Source organism: Homo sapiens, chromosome 2 (assembly GCF_000001405.40).
Source record: "Homo sapiens chromosome 2, GRCh38.p14 Primary Assembly".
In the NCBI taxonomy this organism is placed as follows: Eukaryota; Metazoa; Chordata; class Mammalia; order Primates; family Hominidae; genus Homo; species Homo sapiens.
In genome coordinates, this window is record NC_000002.12 from 120,970,705 (window position 1) to 120,987,736 (window position 17,032).

Sequence of the window (17,032 nt, forward strand, 5' to 3'; positions counted from 1 at the left end):
TGGATTTACGTCTGGCCGCTAGGGTGCCTTCTGGGCAGAGGCCACGTTACAGAAAGGGTGAGACCTGGGCTCAGTCCATGGGAAGCTCCCAGCTTCTTGATTCTGCCGTCTCCTGTCCAAGAAGCATAATAAGTAGATGGAGAAAGCCTCGATTCCCAGGGCCTGGCACCATGGAGGCACTCCATGCACAGCACATAGCATGGGTGGGTGAGTGAATCATTATAAGACTGTGCAGTTTCGTTGTAGAATGTGCATTTGCAGCAGGCTTTCACACACTGCCTCATTCGACCCTTCCAACGGGCCTTGAGCATGCCTGGGCATCCTAGTACAGTGCCTGGCACATCCTAGGTGCCATTATTATTTGGCAAATGAAGTGTTCTTTTACAATAAGGACATGGAAGGGCACAGGCCTTAGCATCAGTCAGACCATCTTTGGGATCCCAACTTGCCTGAAAGCAGCACATCTCTTTCCCTCTCGCAGCCTGAGCTAACTTATCTGCAGAGTGGGATTCCTGATGCCTAGGTGGGGTCACTGTGCATACAAACAAGCTCATGTGTGCAGAGCCCCCATAGGCTCTGATCCTGGGAGCACTGACAACGACAATGCCAGAGGTGAAGGGACCACCCCAGGCCACCCACCAGCAAATGGCAAAGCCTGGATGTGGCTACACCCTTGGAAGGAAGACAGGACACCATGTCCTCTAGAAGTGTCCTCTGTTCCAGAATGTCCTCCCTCTCCACCCCAGGGCTCCTGGTGGCTCCCCAGAGCCTCCCCACGACAGTGGCTGTCAGCTCTGGAAACATCACCTGATACTTTAGCTCTAGCCCCTTCTCCTGAGGAACTGGGCTCTGGCCCCCTATGCCCTGGGCTGGCCAGGCCCTGTTCTCAGACCCACAGTGTCCCCTGCTCTGGAGGGCTGAGAAGTTGAGCCTGGTCAGAACAGGAGCAAGGGCACCCTGCATTTTCCAAAGAGAAGGTCTCTTTCCCATTTCCCAGAAGTCTTGGGGAGGCGGTGATGGAGAGATGGGGGTTGGCATGCCCAGGTCTGGGTGCTCTCCTGTAGCAGGACATGTGCCCCTGGCAGGACTGAGCTGGGGACTCTATTTCTGATACTTTAAACACAGGGTTAGCCCAGATGGTCTGTGCGGAGAGATCCTAGAGTTAAAGTCCAAAAAAATTTGGGATATCCCTGCCCTGCCCCTGAGTAACAGACTGTCCTCTGCACCCTTCCTCAGAACAAGCAGAGCAGTGAGTCGGCCGTCAGCAGCACCGTCAACCCTGTCGCCATTCACAAGCGCAGCAAGGTCAAGACCGAGCCTGAGGGCCTGCGGCCGGCCTCCCCTCTGGCGCTGACGCAGGTAACCTGCTGCCAGCCGCACCACCTTCCTCCAGCTAGGACCAGGCTTGTGGGCTGCCTTGGGGCTGTACCCTTGGTGGTGAACGGATGGCTGGCTGGCTGCCTGCATGGATGAATGAGTGACCCAGGGAGGACTGGGTGGGAATGCTGAGCTGTGACTTTCTCACCACTGTGTTCCCAGCACCCTGGACATACTACATTCCCATCACACATGGTGAATGAATGAATGAGTGAATGAATGAACTTCTGCCTAGCCATCCCTCTTGTCTCAGGCTGCATCTGTCTCTCTCTCGCCACACCTGACCTGTGTACAGCACCAGCCACAGCCTAGTTGAGTTGCTCACGTCCCCGGAATGGCCCAGGCCCTTCTAGGCTGCTGTCGCTCTTGGAACTCTACCCCACCCTGGCTCCTTCGCTGCCACTTCAGCCCTTCCTGATTCTCCTGGGTGATAGGACTGAGCTCCAGGCCCACACACCCAGCCTAGCTCAGGGGTCACTTCAGGGCATGTGCTGTGTGCACACCTGTCTCCCTGTCTGCACTCTAAGCTTTGGAGAGGTGGCGCTATGGGAGAAGTGCCTGACTGGGTTCCATGCCACCAGGGTTTGTGCAAGTGTGCAGTCACTGACACAGTATTTTCCAATGATTCAATGCACATTTGAGTCAGTGAGTGGCGTGGTGAGGGGGGAAGACAGGACAAGTTCAAGCGGGGAGAGAAGAGCGGAGCAGCCCACAGCCCAGTGCAGGCCTACCACGTGGCCCAGACCCTGTGCTGATCCTTTTGGAAACTTTGCCACTTATTTCTTCTGCTCCAAGACAGCATGCGGGCAGCCCCCACTCTGGGAGCAGGGGCCTGTCTTGTAAAGGGCATGCCGTGCCTGTTGACCTGGTAAGTAAGCCCCTGGTCCCCCAAGCCCTCTCATGGTGGCCCAGTCTTCATTCATTACCACAGAAGCCGCATCTTGGACACCAAGGATGCTCAGGGCCTCCTATCCCTGTCTCCCCTGCATCTGCCGAGCATCCTTTATCAAAACTGTGAACCATCAGGCATGCTCTGGGCACTTAATTTTCATGAAATATTGGCTTCTGTTATCGTCAAGCAAGCAGAGAGGTTGATGACAAATTCTTCTCCCCTTGCTGACACCAAAGCCGGTCTCAGCACGATGCATGGTTTCCACGGGGCCGACCATCATCGGGAGCCAATGAAATTGATGAGGACGGCACATATCCAGGGAAGATAAACACGCCAGAAAGGCAAGGACAGGGCCGGCAGGCAGGCACTGAGCACCTGGGAGCCCCATGGCCACACGCCGGTAGGGCCCTATGCCCGCCCTCCAACCCTGGCCGGCCATACAGGGCCTCCTGCCTGCCCAGCCTGGCTCTGCGCACGTGTCAGTGCAAGGAAAGCTGTTTATCATGAGGAGGTTGTCCCCCCGTCGCTCAGTGTCCCGATTCACTGACCAAGGACTCCCTGACTCATTTGTAAGGTGGATGGCTGACTTCCAGGTCTTCTCAAAGAGTGGAGAGGGTGATGGGAGGCCCTCTGGTCCACTCTCCCCATGGTCTCACCCCAACAGCCCCCAGACGATCCCATTGCTAAAGATCTGGAAAGGAAATGCTCCCACACCTTCCTTTGACTTGCTCCCAATGTAGCCCCTGGAGCTATTGTACGACATGTTGTTGCTTTCCTGTTGGGAACAAGTGGATTCGTTGAAAGGTCCTTTGAGAAACAATCAGGAACCCTTCTCGGAAGAGGTCTTTGCAGCTCTTATGGAAAGTCAGGTGGAGTTTGAGTCTCCATTGACAGCAGGGCGTCCTGAGGCTAATTTCTTCCATTCCCAGAAAGGGACTCAGCATTAGGACTGAAATTGTGACCTGGGCAGCTATGGTACCACTCATTGAGTCCCCGGAGCCAGTGGGGGTTAGGCCTTTTGAGTATGGGGCGAGGTCCTTCATCCCCCTGAGCCTGACTATACATGTTTTCCCCAGAGACTATTCTGAAAGACAACATTTTCCTGCTGGTTTTGGAGAGAGTTTGAAGTGCGAAGCAATCTTGGTAACATCTGCCTCTTTGCTTGGCTTTGCTCCCAGCCTTCCTAGCAGACCAGTGGAATACTGGGGAGTCCTTGACAGCCCTTGTAGGCCCTCCGTGGACTTTCCGTCCCTACCTGGAGTATGAGCCTCTCCCTGTGCCCCGACCCCAGGCAGGTACCTCCTACCTGTCCTCATGTTCTCTGCTCAGAGGGTGCCCCTGGTTAGCATCAGTGAGGGTAGGGATGGTCTTGTGGGTTAATTCTCAGTCTGTTGCCAGTTTGAGAGAAAAAGACTTTGTCCTTTTTGACGGGAATTTCAGGGACCTGTGATCAGGTGAAGGAATTTCAGGTACCTGTGATCAGGTCAAGGAATGTCTCAGGGGTCTTTCCTTCGCCTCATTAAAATGGCCACATGGGCCCTAATGTGGTCAGGGGACTCAAGTCCAGACCTAGGCTGCCTCGAGCTCACTGTGTATTCATGGGGAGGGCCTCGGATCCTCCCTATCGTACAAGAATGCAGATGCCCATGCGTTAGGGCTGTGGCAGGGAAAACTGGTTCCCCACAGCACTTCGATGAAGACAAGTGTGCACTGGAGAGGAAGGAGGAAGGGCCCCAGGACAGGCCATCTGACAAGGAGAGCTGTGGGCGGGGCTGAGTTGAGGAAAGGAGCTAAAAAGGCTGATGAGTGTGTGTGTGTGTGTGTGTGTGTCTGCATGCATGTGTTGTGTGTGTGCACACACACCTGTAACACACACACTTGCATCCACACCTGTAACAGCCCAGGGTCCTTGGCACAGAATGCATGGGACTAACAGCGACCTCTTTTCAGGGCCAGGTGTCTGGACACGGCTCATGTGGGTGTGCCCTTCCCCTCTCCCAGGAGCAGCTGGCTGACCTCAAGGAAGATCTGGACAGGGATGACTGTAAGCAGGAGGCTGAGGTGGTCATCTATGAGACCAACTGCCACTGGGAAGACTGCACCAAGGAGTACGACACCCAGGAGCAGCTGGTGCATGTAAGCTTTTGAACCCCAGCAGCCCGCCAACCGGGGCACGGCCCAGGCCATGCAGGATGCTGAGCCTTCCAGGGCCTCTACTAGACAGAAGGGGCTGGAGGAAGAGACCCCCAGAGATGCCTGGGCCACATCCCCTGCAAGTGGGAGGCATAATTACTTATGTGTGTCCTGCCTGTTTTTAAGATGGCTTCCAATACATATGTAATACAAACAATTAAAAGAAAAAATAAGTAAATGAGACTGTCAGGGAAAAGAGAACAATAAAGTGAAACCAGGAATAGAGTTAGTATTAAAAACCGAGTGCTTTGAGCTATATTCTATATACACATTTTTTTTTTCTGAGATTCCTAATAGCCAGTGCAAAGAGGGAAATACGATTAGTTAAACCAGCCAGTATCTACACAATAATAAGTGAAAGAAGCTTCTCCCATGAAGGAAGGAGTTGATCCTTTCCTTTTGGGGACTATTCACAGATACCCAGTGGATATGGGTGCAGGTGGGCGTCTACACCCAGATCAGAGAGGAGGTTGCTTAACAGTGCCTGAGTACTGACAGCTCAGGTGATTAGAGATGACCATGGGAGCCGGCGAGACCTTCAGGATATGCCTCTTGGTCCTCATTCCAAACTCTCATACTGCAGCGTCCCTTATATGGCAGTTAGGGGTGATGTGTGCAATGTGCAGAGCAGAGGCTTGGCACGGGAGACACCTGGCTCCAAACCTGTCCCCACCACAACCAGCTGAGTGGTTCTGAGCAAGTGACTCCACCTCTGTGAGCTTCATTTGTTTCCTATAAAGGGGGTTGATGCTACCCCACAGGAGGGTCAATCATGTTTGTCAGCACTTAGTGCCTTGCAGACATTCCGCACCTAGCAGCTCCCTCCTTCCTCCTCCTGCCTGTTCCCCACACCAGCCCTGAGTGGTTCTCTCTTCTCCATCCAGAGAAGAACTTAAATTCAAGAAAGCCACCTCCCAACTCCCCAGCACATGCTCCTTGGTGAGTGAGTGTCTATAAAGATGAACCCACTAAATTAGTAGCTCGATTGCTGGGAAGAGCAGACACACACGCACGTGCACACACATGCACACACACACATGCACGCGTCTCCGATTCATATTCAGAAGCTGTCCAGAGGCGCTTGCTTCTCCCCAGCTCTGTGAACTTAGCATTTAGGACACGCCGACTCCCTCTGCTTCTTCCACTTATGCAACTTGCTCACAAATACCGTAGGTTTCTTTTGTGTTGGAGTTTGTCCTCCCAAACACAGTTCTCACCCAGAAGGCCAGAATTTCCCAGCAAACGAATGCAGCTGGTGAAGCAGGGTCTTATCTAACCCCTTCTGGATCTCAAACTTAATTTTTCAACTTGTACCACCTCTTTGGGGTAAACAAGCCCTAGATGGAGCAGGGACCGTGGAGCTGTGAGTTGCAGAACAAATCAGTTAGATGAAAGGAGGAGAGAGGGACAGTCTCTCAGGCCAGGGGAAGGCCAAAGCCAGAGCATGCAGATGAGGATGTCAAAGACGTGCTCTGTGATAAGTGGGTCAGCCCCAAAGAGCAGGCACGGAATTCCTCAGATGAATGCGGAGGGTCCCCAAACTGGGAGGAGGGCTTTAGCCAGGGGCTTCTGCCTGTGCCCTGGACTGTCCTGGAGCTATAGGTGGCCACCTCCACCAGGCCCTGGAAAAAGCAGACCCCTTCACCCAGCTCTGTCTGTCTGTCTCTCTCTGTTTCTCTCTGCTCCCTGGAAAGATGGATGGAGCAGGCGCACAGGCGAGCTGGAGCCCCTGGTCGATTATTAACAATTTGTTGCTAAGTAAACCAATAAGAAAAAAATGAAAGCCATTGTCAGGAAGCATTTTTATCATTTGAAAGGCTTTAAAAATGGAAAGTGAGGCTAATATGATAAGATTTCCCTGGAAGTTCAAAGCGCTGGAGATTTCACATGCTCCAGCAGGGGCATCTGTACGCGTGACAGTTGGGCGAGTCGCACAGGGCATGAGGGCCTGGCAGTTTTCTGTCTTCTGGGGCAAGGTGCTGCCAGTGCCTGATGCTTGGCTCTTGGGACAGCCTCTTTTGGTGGCAGAGTTCCACAGCAGAATGTCCAGCAGAACAATATTACAGGCCACAAATGCCAGCTATCCATGTAATTTACATTTCCTAGGAGTGCATTTAAAAGTAAAAAGAAACAGGTGAAGTTAATTTTAATATTTTTTATCCAGCCCAATATATCTGAAATATCATTTAGCAGGTAGTCAATAGAAAAGAAAGTTATTGAGATATTGTATATTCTTTTTTTTCCATTCTAAGTCTTTGAAACTGGTGTGTAGTTTGCACTTCTAGCCCATCCCAGCTCAGGCCAGCCACATTTCAAGTGTGCAAGAGCCCCACATGGGGCAAGTGGTCACTGCATTAGACAGTGTGGGTCTAGAGGTTGTGGGAGGGGGGCTGGGAGGAAGTGAAGACGGGGGAGGAAACTGAGAACAGAGGAGGAAGGGGAGGCCTCTAAGACCTGAGTGTCCTGGCCTCGCCACCAGGCTGGGGAAGTAAACCCAGCCTTACCCGAGATACGCGGCAGGGTTAGTCGTGCTGCGCTGGCTGTCCCAACTCACTTGCCTGGGGCCGTTTTCTCCCAGGATAAGCTTCACACAGTGCCCAGAGCCCACCATTAAGGTCAGTTCTGGCTCCACCACGCCGACTGCCAGGGCCCTGTGCAGGCCACTGAACTCTCTGTGCCTTTGTGGAAAGGGGACAAAGCCATTATCTCATGGGTCAATGCCAAAAATAGAGATAAGCATGTGTTATTTTTCTATTGAAACAAAATATGTTATTTACAAACCTCTGAAACAATAGGGGCAAGCTTAGGAGAGGCTTCTCATGCACCCACTACGGGCACGTTTGCCTCGCTGCGGTTAGTGCCTACTGTTTGCAGCCTGGGAGCGTCATCACACCAGAGCCCAGGCTGCGGTGCACAGGATGGCTTTGCCCAATATAGACGGTCACTTTGAGGACTGATTGGAAAATGCAGGGCAGATAAGCGGCACGCAGTAGGCCTTCATTTAAGGGCAGCTAGTGATGATTCATGAGGAGGCGTGGCCCGGCTCGTAGGGGTGGTCTTGTTGGGTCAGTGGTCTGCGTATAGTAGGTGGGATGGGCAATGAGGAGCACGGTCTGAACATAATAGGTGTGGTCAGCAGGGTGGATGGTCTGCACACAGGTCGGGGAGGGCTGGGGGGGTGCCGGTGCAGGTGGTCAGCTGACAGCAGGGGGTGGTCTGTGGGCCTCTGGCCCTGCTTACCCTCTTCTGGGCATGTCCCTCCGGCAGCACATCAACAACGAGCACATCCACGGGGAGAAGAAGGAGTTTGTGTGCCGCTGGCAGGCCTGCACGCGGGAGCAGAAGCCCTTCAAGGCGCAGTACATGCTGGTGGTGCACATGCGGCGACACACGGGCGAGAAGCCCCACAAGTGCACGGTGAGTGGCCTTCTCCCCACCCCCGCCGCAGCATCAAGACTGGCCTGTCAGCCAGGCCGGGGGGATCATGTTTGGAGGTGGCTGGCCACAGGCACACCTGGGTGGGGCAGACCACAGCAGGGGCTCTGGGACAGGAGCCTGTTCCCACCCTGCCTGTTTGGGTCCTGGAGGCCCCTCGCCTCGTGCCGTCCCAGACCTTGATGGACTTGCTCTCTGGGTGTGAGCATCTCGGTAAGCATGGCAAAAATGTGTGGGTGTGTCTGTGATTGTGAGTCCAAAGGCATATCTGCACCCTGCAGTTTGCTTGGCTGGGTGACGCTGGGAAGAGGGACAGCTCCATAGTGCTCTGCAGAGAAAAAAACATCATTGGTGATTCAGAGCTTGAGCAATGATGGGTTAAAATGGTTGAGGGTTTTTTTGTTTGTTTGTTTTTTGAGACAGAGTCTCACTTTGCTACCCAGGCAGCTCATTGCAGCCTCCACCTCCTGGGCTCAGGCAATCCTCCCACCTCAGCCTCCTGAGTAGCTGGGACTACAGGTACATGCCACCAACCCAGCTAATTTTTGTATTCTTTTGTAGAGATGGGGTTTTGCCATGTTGCTCTTGAACTCCTGGGCTCAAGCAGTCTGCCTGCATCAGCCTCCCAAAGTGCTGGGATTCGTCTTGAGCCACAGCTCCCAGCTGAGTTATTTTTTTTTTAAGTGAGCTCAATGATAAGACCTTTTCTATGGTCTCCTTTAGAAGGTCAACAGGATTTATGACTATAGTTGGAGAGACTTATTTTTTTAACACACAGAAACTGCTGCCCCACAAATGCACACGTGGTTTCAGCTGTAGCTGAAACATCTGGGAACTCCTTTTTGTGAATTCTTGTTTCATAGATTCTGAGACATACATTTTGTTTTCACCTTAATATCTCTGAAGTCAGACTGTCTTAAAATCAGTGGTGTCCAGGATCCAATGAAATATGCTACCTTTGCTGGCAAGTCAGTTTTTTTATTGAGAAATAGCTGACATACCATAAAGTTCACCCTTTTCGGAAAATGTGCAATTTAGTTGTTTTTAGTACATTCACAGATTTGTACAACAATCACTACTAGTTAATTTCAGAACATTTTCATCACCCCAGAAAGATACCCTGTACTCATTAGCAGCCACTCCTAATTCTGTCCTTCCCACAGCCCCTCCTAATTCTGTCCTTCCCACAGCCCCTCCTAATTCTGTCCTTCCCACAGCCCTGGACAATTACTAATCTGCTTTCTGTCTGTATGGATTTGCCTGTTCTGGAAATTTCATAAAAACTGAAATCATACAATATGTGCATTTGTGTCTTGCTTCTTTCAGTTAACACGTTTGCAAGGTTCACCTGCGTTGTAGCATGCACGCGTACTTTCTTTCTTTTTGTGGCTGCATAATACTCCATTGTATGGATAGACCATGTTTTGTTTATGCATTCATCAGTTGATGGATATTTGCATTGTATTCACTTTGAGGCTATTATGAATAATGCTGCTATGAACATGTGCGTTCATGTTTTTATATGGACAGAACGTTTTCACTTCTCTTGGGTATGTGTAACTAGGAGTGGAATTGGTGAGTCGTATGGCAGTTGAGGAACTGCTAGTCTGTTTTCCAAAAACGCTGCTCCATTTTACCTTTCCACCCACAATGAATGAGGGTTCTGATTTCTCCAAATCCTCACCAACACTGGTTGTTACCTGTCTTTTTTATTCTAGCCATATCCTAGTGGGTATAAAGTAGTATTTTATTGTGTTTTTGATTAGCACTTCCCTAATTAGTGATTAATAATGTTAAACATCTTTTCAGGTGCTTATTGGCCATTTGCGTATCTTCTCTGGAGAACTGTCTACCCAAATATTGCCCATTTTGAAACCTGGTTGTCTTTTTGCTGTTAAATTGTAAGAATTTTTCATATATCTGGTTACTAGACCCTTGTCAGATATATGATTTGCAAATAATTCTCCCATTCTCTGGATTTTCTTTTCATTTCCTTGATACTTTCTTTTAGAGCACAAAGTTCTTAATTTTGAGGCTGTACAATTTTTTAATTGCTTGTGCTTTTAGCGTCATAGCTAAGGAACCATTGCCTAATCCAAGGTCACAAAAATTTACCTCTATGTTTTCTTCTAAGAGTTTTATAGTTTATATAGACTTTTATTTATAGAAATATTGAATACTGGCACTCTGAAAAATTTAAAAATTAAAAAAAGAATATATGTGTGTATAGAGAGTTTTATAATATAGCTCTTCCATTGAGGTCTTTGATCCATTTGGAGTTAATTTTTTTTTTTTTTGAGACAGAGTCTCCCTCTGTCACCCAGGCTAGAGTGCAATAGTGCCATCTTGGCTCACTGCAACATCCGCATCCCAGGTTCAAGCGACTCTCCTGCCTCAGCCTCCGGAGTAGCTGGGATTACAGGCACGCACCACACGCCTGGCTAATTTTTTGTATTTTTAGTAGAGACGGGGTTTCACCATGATGGCCAGGCTGGTCTTGAACTCCTAACCTCAGGTGATCCCCCTGCCTCAGCCTCCCAAAGTGCTAGGATTACAGGCGTGAGCCACCACGCCCAGGCTGGAGTTAATCTTTGTACATGGTATGAGGTAGGGATCCAAACTTACTCTTTTGCATGTGATTACGCAGTTGTCTGAGTCCATTTGCTGAAAAATTGTTCTTTCCATTTGAATGGTCTTGGTATCCTTGTCAAAAATCAATTGACCTTAAGTGTCTGGGTTTCTTTCTGAACTGCCAGTTATATTGCCTGGATCTCTATGTCTCTCTTTATGTCAGTACCACATGCAGTCTTTATTACTGTCAATTTGTAGGAAGTAAATTGGGGCATATGAGTTCTCCAAATTTGTCCTCCTTTTGCAAGATGGTTCTGGCTCTTCAGGGTTCATTGCAACAAGTTATTTTCTTAACATCCTCAGTAGTGGCAAACCATAGCCCTTTGATGATATGAGCTGTGAGTTGTGGAAACAGATAAAAGGCGTTTGGAGCCAAGCATGCTCAATCAGACTGGTCAGGAATAAAGGGGAGGATGGGAGGAATGAGACAGCTCCTGCCGGGTGTACGTGTCCTCCTGAGGGCGGTTTTCATACATCCATTCAATGCAACCACAGTATCTTTGGAATAGCTGCAGAGCTTCCTGCAATGATCTCTTCTTTCTCCCCTTCCTCCCTTCTTCCCTCTCTCCCCACCTCCTTTCCTTCCTTCCTCTCTCCCTTGCTCCCTCCTTTCCTCCTTCCGTCCTTTCCAAAAATGTTTCTTGAGTGCCTAGATGCTAAATATTAGGAAGACAGCAATGAACAAGACAGAAGATTCCTGCTCTATGGAGCTGGTATTCTAGTAAGAAGGCTGGGTAACAAAATGATTAAGATCATTATAAATCGAGCCAAGGGGTATAAAGGAGAGAGGATAGAGTGTTGTGATTGAGAATATCAGAAAAATGCTCTCAGAGGAGATGACCTAAAAGATTGAGAGGGAGGGACCTGGGCCAGGAACCGGATTGGGTGGGGGCTGCAGAAGTTTCCAGCCAGAGGGGTCGGTAGTATGCAGAGGCCCCAAGCCAGAAAGAACTTAGTGGAGTCAAAGAACTGAAAGGAGACCAGCATGTCCAAAGTGAAGATGAGGGTGGCCGACTCACTCAAGGACTTGAAGGACTGAATTTTATTCTCAGCATGTTTTAGAGCACAGGACAATTCTAACCGAGAGTGGTACTGGGAAACAGTTCAAAGTCATAGTTTAGAGTTTAATGATATGGGAATATGCTGCTGATTTAAAAAAATAGAGTATGTAACTGAATACTTGACATGTTCCCAATTTTGGTTTTAAAGACATGTGGAGATGAATTGCAGACTCACCAGAATGAAACTTACCTGCGTGTCAGCAGTAGCAGCCCCTGGGCGACCGGTGGTTTTCATTTTTCTCTTTGTACCTTTCAGCCCTTTCCATGTTTTCAGGAAAGGAAAGTAATATCCTTAAAATGCATGCTTCTGAGTGCGCTGACGGGTTGGAGCAGAGCAGAGAAGGGGGTGGGGAGGAAGCAGCAGCCGGCCTCAAGGTTGGGCCCCCTGGGGTGCCTTGACTGACTGAACCGCCTCCTTCTAGTTCGAGGGCTGCTCGAAGGCCTACTCCCGCCTGGAGAACCTGAAGACACACCTGCGGTCCCACACCGGGGAGAAGCCATATGTGTGTGAGCACGAGGGCTGCAACAAAGCCTTCTCCAACGCCTCGGACCGCGCCAAGCACCAGAATCGCACCCACTCCAACGAGGTACCTCTGCGGGGCATGCACTGGGCATGCACACTGGGGCCCCACTGACGCCCCATGGCTTCCAGGCATCTGTAGTCCAGTAGATAGCCAGGTGCCCCATGTCCCGCCCCCGCCACTGACCAGCTATACATCCTCAGATACAGACCAGGACTCTTTGAGACCTAGACAGACCGGTCTCTTTCTCTATGCCACATCCTTTCCTCTAAAAGATGCCCCGTGAGGTCCCATGGCATACTGACCCTCTCTGTGCCTCAATTTCCTTATCTCCATAATAAATATAATAGTGCCCTCCCCAAAGGCCATCATGAGGTCCTCGAGAGTTGAAGTTGAAGCAGGGAAGTGGCCCTTCTGATCTCGGAGTGTTTAACATGCATCTGCTCCCTATTACTTGGGGCTGCTGGGTGGGCTCTGCCTCCCCATCCTCTAGATGAGGAAACGAAGACTCAGAGATGAAGTGACTTTCCCCAGTGCCAGAGCAGTGATGATCCCTCTGCAGCTGTGAAAACATCCTGGGTCACTGCTCCCCACCCCCAAATTCCCTTTCCACCACAAGCAGGTGTTCCACTGGGGAGCAGCTGCCCCACTGCCTGAGGGAAGCAGAGCAGTGCTGTCTGAGCTTGGCGTTTGTTGGTAGCCCCCTGGCCTGTTGGCTTGGGCAGCCAGCAGTGACATGCTCCAGCTGTTAGCGCTGCCTGGGCCTGCCGTGGCTGTCAGCCCCAGCAGATGGGGCACAGAGCAGCCTCTGTCTCCCTGGGTAGGCAGAGCCCCTATCTGGGCTGAGAGAACCAGGGAGAAAGCAGGGCAAGAGCCGGTGGCATCCTGGCCCAGCCACACAATTACTGTCGCTCAGGCTTACTCGGAAATGTATGTTTTTAAAAGCTTAGACATATCCTGGACCCCAAAGGGACTTTGCTCCAATGCTTGTAAGAAGTTAGAGGAATTTTCAAAGGCATCTGAACCCCTCAGAGTCTCTATGGACAAGAGCCAGCCTTAGAGGGGAGTGTGTGTGCACATGTGTGTATGTGTGTTTGTAAGTGTATGTTTTTCTGTAGACGTGGTGTGTGGGGTGTGTGTGTGTGTGTGTGTGTGTGTGTGTGTGCATGTTTATGAGTCCAGGACTGAGGTTCGGAAATCCTGGGTTTTTTCACCCCATTACTGGATGACTTGGAACCTGTTCCTTTGCCTCCCTGATCCTGCCTTTCTTCATCAGAGAAATCAGGGGTGCTAGTGCTGTCAGAGGGTACACTGAGCTCGTACACTTGCTACTAGTACTAAAAACCCCACTGCCCTGTTCATTGAGAGGCAGCATTGTGATTACACGAGGCACATGTGTCCCCAGCTTCTTGTGGCAGGACCCCCCGTGGCCGTGTGCTTAACTGCATGAACAGGTGCAGACAAGCCAGGCTATGGCCAGGCTCCTGCATGGTGCCATCCACAGAGCACTGGCTGCAAATTTGACACAGCACCTACTGACGTTGCCAGCTGGGCTCTGCTGAGGGGCGTGGGTAGCTTCAGGAGAACAGGGAGAGCGCCCCTTCAGAGTTGATCCTCGTACCCCTATCCATGACACAGGCCTGCTTCTCTCCCCAGAAACCCTACATCTGCAAGATCCCAGGCTGCACCAAGAGATACACAGACCCCAGCTCTCTCCGGAAGCATGTGAAAACGGTCCACGGCCCAGATGCCCACGTCACCAAGAAGCAGCGCAATGACGTGCACCTCCGCACACCGCTGCTCAAAGAGAATGGGGACAGTGAGGCCGGCACGGAGCCTGGCGGCCCAGAGAGCACCGAGGCCAGCAGCACCAGCCAGGCCGTGGAGGACTGCCTGCACGTCAGAGCCATCAAGACCGAGAGCTCCGGGGTAAGCGGAGCTGGGCAGCCCAGCCACGCAAGGCGACTCCATAGCCGTGCCCAGGGCCACCCCTTGCCACGGTTGCGGGCTCTGCCCTAAGGCCCCCCTCTAGGGGCACAGCGATATCCCTCCTCTCTCCAACTTGGCTTTCCCCCTTCACCACCTTGGGCCTCACATGGAACCTATCTTGTCCAGGTCCCATTCTGCTCTGACCAGGCTCCTGCTGGGTGTGTGGCAGCACGCTGGGTGACAGGGATGCCGCCCTGTACGGTGGGCCTGCACAGGGCGGGGGTGGCCCCTGCAAGTCTGCCTTTCCAGCCAGCACCCAAGTGCCACTGCCAGCCCCCACTCCTCTGTCCTGTCTCTGCATCCCCACCCCTCTGGCGTCCACTCCTTTTGTTCTAACCACCTGTTCTTTGTCTCCATCTCTTTTTCCTGACTGTACCTCCCCTAAGGATAGACGGTACTGAGGTGAGCCAAGGAGCTGGGCATGTGTGGGTGGGCTGGGGGAGTGAGGGTGGCTGGGGAGCCGGTCCATGCTGCTGCCTGGCAGAGACTCACCTGTCAGTCTAGGCCTCCTAGGCCCAGGCAGGTGGGCCCGGACAGGCACACGGCAGGGCACTGCAGGTGGGGCCATTGGCCTTGGCAGCCGGAGTGGAACTGGCAGGTGTGGGGAGCAGGGGCGCCAGGCTGTATCAGGGACAGAGTGACAGGGAGGCATGCGTCTAGGCTACAGAAGGTCCTGAGGGTCAAACAGAAAAATGTGGGTGGCGCCATGGACAACACCTAGAAGGTCCCTGCTCCCATTAAGCCTGTGTCCTCATGGGAAGGAAGATCATGCCTTCCCAAGAAAGCTGGAATTTGGGGCCATTTGGCCTAACAATGAGCCCAGAGGTGGTGGTGCATCTGGTGCAAGCCTCATCTGGGCCCAGATCCGAGTTCTGTGGATGTCGTCCGAGTGGATGTTGTCCGAGTTCTGTGGCATTCTGCACTGTGTACATGTGCCATGAGCTCCCTGCCCCACTCTACCTAACCCAGAGGGAAGACTGTTTTGGGGTGGCCCTTTACACAAGGGCTGCATCCCACAGGTCCCCCTCCTGGTCATCCTTTCCCTTTCCCACAACCTGCCCCTGGCCTTTTGAGATCATCCTGTCTGGTTGAAGCCACCAAGTCAGCAGGCTTCATTCCTCACCTCATCAGGGTACATGGCTGTTGGTGGGAGTGTTTAAGTGCCTTCCTTTGTGCCATACTGGGTGCCTTCTGCACGCTGCGTGCTGTCCACCCACCCACTAACTCTGCACCGGAATCAGTTCAGGTCCATCTCATAGTTGGGGAAGCCAAGGTTAAGAGAAGTGAAGTGACTTGACCGTTTTAAGCAAACAGACTCATGACGCTTTACGTGCTCCTCCGCAAGGCAGCTTCCTTCCCTCACCCTCAGCCCCTCAGGGTGGGCGAGGGTGTGGTGCCTGTGCAGGCCTAGAGGCAGGACCAGGTGGAATCTGATACCCTCTGAGTCTGAGCCTTCTTGCCTCGTCCCCTGCAGCTGTGTCAGTCCAGCCCCGGGGCCCAGTCGTCCTGCAGCAGCGAGCCCTCTCCTCTGGGCAGTGCCCCCAACAATGACAGTGGCGTGGAGATGCCGGGGACGGGGCCCGGGAGCCTGGGAGACCTGACGGCACTGGATGACACACCCCCAGGGGCCGACACCTCAGCCCTGGCTGCCCCCTCCGCTGGTGGCCTCCAGCTGCGCAAACACATGACCACCATGCACCGGTTCGAGCAGCTCAAGAAGGAGAAGCTCAAGTCACTCAAGGATTCCTGCTCATGGGCCGGGCCGACTCCACACACGCGGAACACCAAGCTGCCTCCCCTCCCGGGAAGTGGTGAGTAAAGGCCTGGGGTTTGCAGATGGGGCAGAAGAGAGTCTGGGGCAGCACCAACTAGGCTGGCACCCACCAAGCACCAGTGCTATCTCACCGGATTCCTACAGGATCTTACCAGCCCAGTACAGAAAAGGAAACTGAGGCTCAGAGAGGTGAAATGCCTTACCCAAATCAATGGCAGGGGTGAGATTAGCCAAAGGCCATGCTCTTTCAACTGCACCATTCTGAGTCCTTATAACCCCCCAAAACAAGCAGACCCTGCGCACATCATCCTCTTCCTCACCCATTCATTCCTTCACTGATGAGGCACTTGCTGTGGGCACCATGGCAAAGGCCCTAGGCAGGAGAGCCATTTAATTCCAGTCCCAAAGGAGCGTATGGTTAGAAGGCTGTGCCACCAGATTCACACTCTACTGCAGAACGAGCCAGGTACCACCAAAGCCAGAGCTTAGGGTAGAGCTGTGCAGAGGAAGGAGAAAGCACATTGAGCTGGGGATGAGCAGGGAGGACTTCATGGCGGAGGCAGCACTGTGCTCAGTCTCAAGAGGTGTTGGCCAGGCTCTGAGATGGAAGGCGTCTTTAACGAGCATGTCTTGGGTACTGACTCTGTGCCTAGGATTGTGCCGGGCTGCCCACTGTGGTCAACACTGATGTACCACCTGCTCTCACTTGAAGGGAGGATTTGTTGTCCCAACTTGTGGGGACTACTGGCAAATGGCCTTGAACTCTCAGCCCCCTACAGGGATGTCCTGGGTTGCAGACAGATGCCCCACCCAAGGTCACCCCTTCCCAGCAGCCCCGCATGCAATGACTGGTCACTGCAGGAGTGTAAAGGCCCAGCCATCAAGATGAGGCTCAGAGAGGTGCCCAACTCAGGGCAGCACTGAAGAGCCATTGGGGGTCCTGGGCTCCCTGTGAGATCATCCTGGGCTCACGTCTCCTCTGCCCACTCTTGCAGCCTGTCTTTCCTTCCATGGGTATGGACCTCAGGGTACTCCCTGTAATAACCTGCTCCTTAAACTCCATCTCAGGGACGCCTAGGTGGCACCACCTCCACAGACTGTGAGGGTACTGTGCCAGGAGACCAACCTGGGCCTTCCTGAGCTGCTCATCCCCTCCTCT

General features: G+C 52.2%; 1 protein-coding gene across 8 annotated transcripts in view, besides 1 other annotated feature; it reads left to right on the forward strand.

Moving 5' to 3' along the window:
* Window positions 1-17,032, forward strand: part of GLI2 (GLI family zinc finger 2) — a 256,786-nt gene that overhangs the window by 234,837 nt on the left and 4,917 nt on the right. For 4 of the 8 annotated variants that reach the window (NM_001371271.1, NM_005270.5, XM_011510971.3 and 1 more), the window contains 6 exons: window positions 1,237-1,359; window positions 4,220-4,405; window positions 7,730-7,879; window positions 12,012-12,176; window positions 13,767-14,039; window positions 15,574-15,910. In NM_001371271.1, coding sequence (NP_001358200.1) covers window positions 1,237-1,359; window positions 4,220-4,405; window positions 7,730-7,879; window positions 12,012-12,176; window positions 13,767-14,039; window positions 15,574-15,910 — 1,234 coding nt within the window. The remainder of the gene's footprint in view (window positions 1-1,236; window positions 1,360-4,219; window positions 4,406-7,729; window positions 7,880-12,011; window positions 12,177-13,766; window positions 14,040-15,573; window positions 15,911-17,032) is intronic. The other 4 variants (NM_001374353.1, NM_001374354.1, XM_047443947.1 and 1 more) reach the window with 1 other exon arrangement.
* Window positions 12,067-12,577: an enhancer, noted in NCBI's record as "H3K4me1 hESC enhancer chr2:121740347-121740857 (GRCh37/hg19 assembly coordinates)". NCBI's record gives its function as "activates a minimal SCP1, AML or CMV promoter by ChIP-STARR-seq in primed H9 embryonic stem cells {active_cell/tissue: H9 hESC(primed)}" and the evidence as "EXISTENCE:reporter gene assay evidence [ECO:0000049][PMID:30033119]".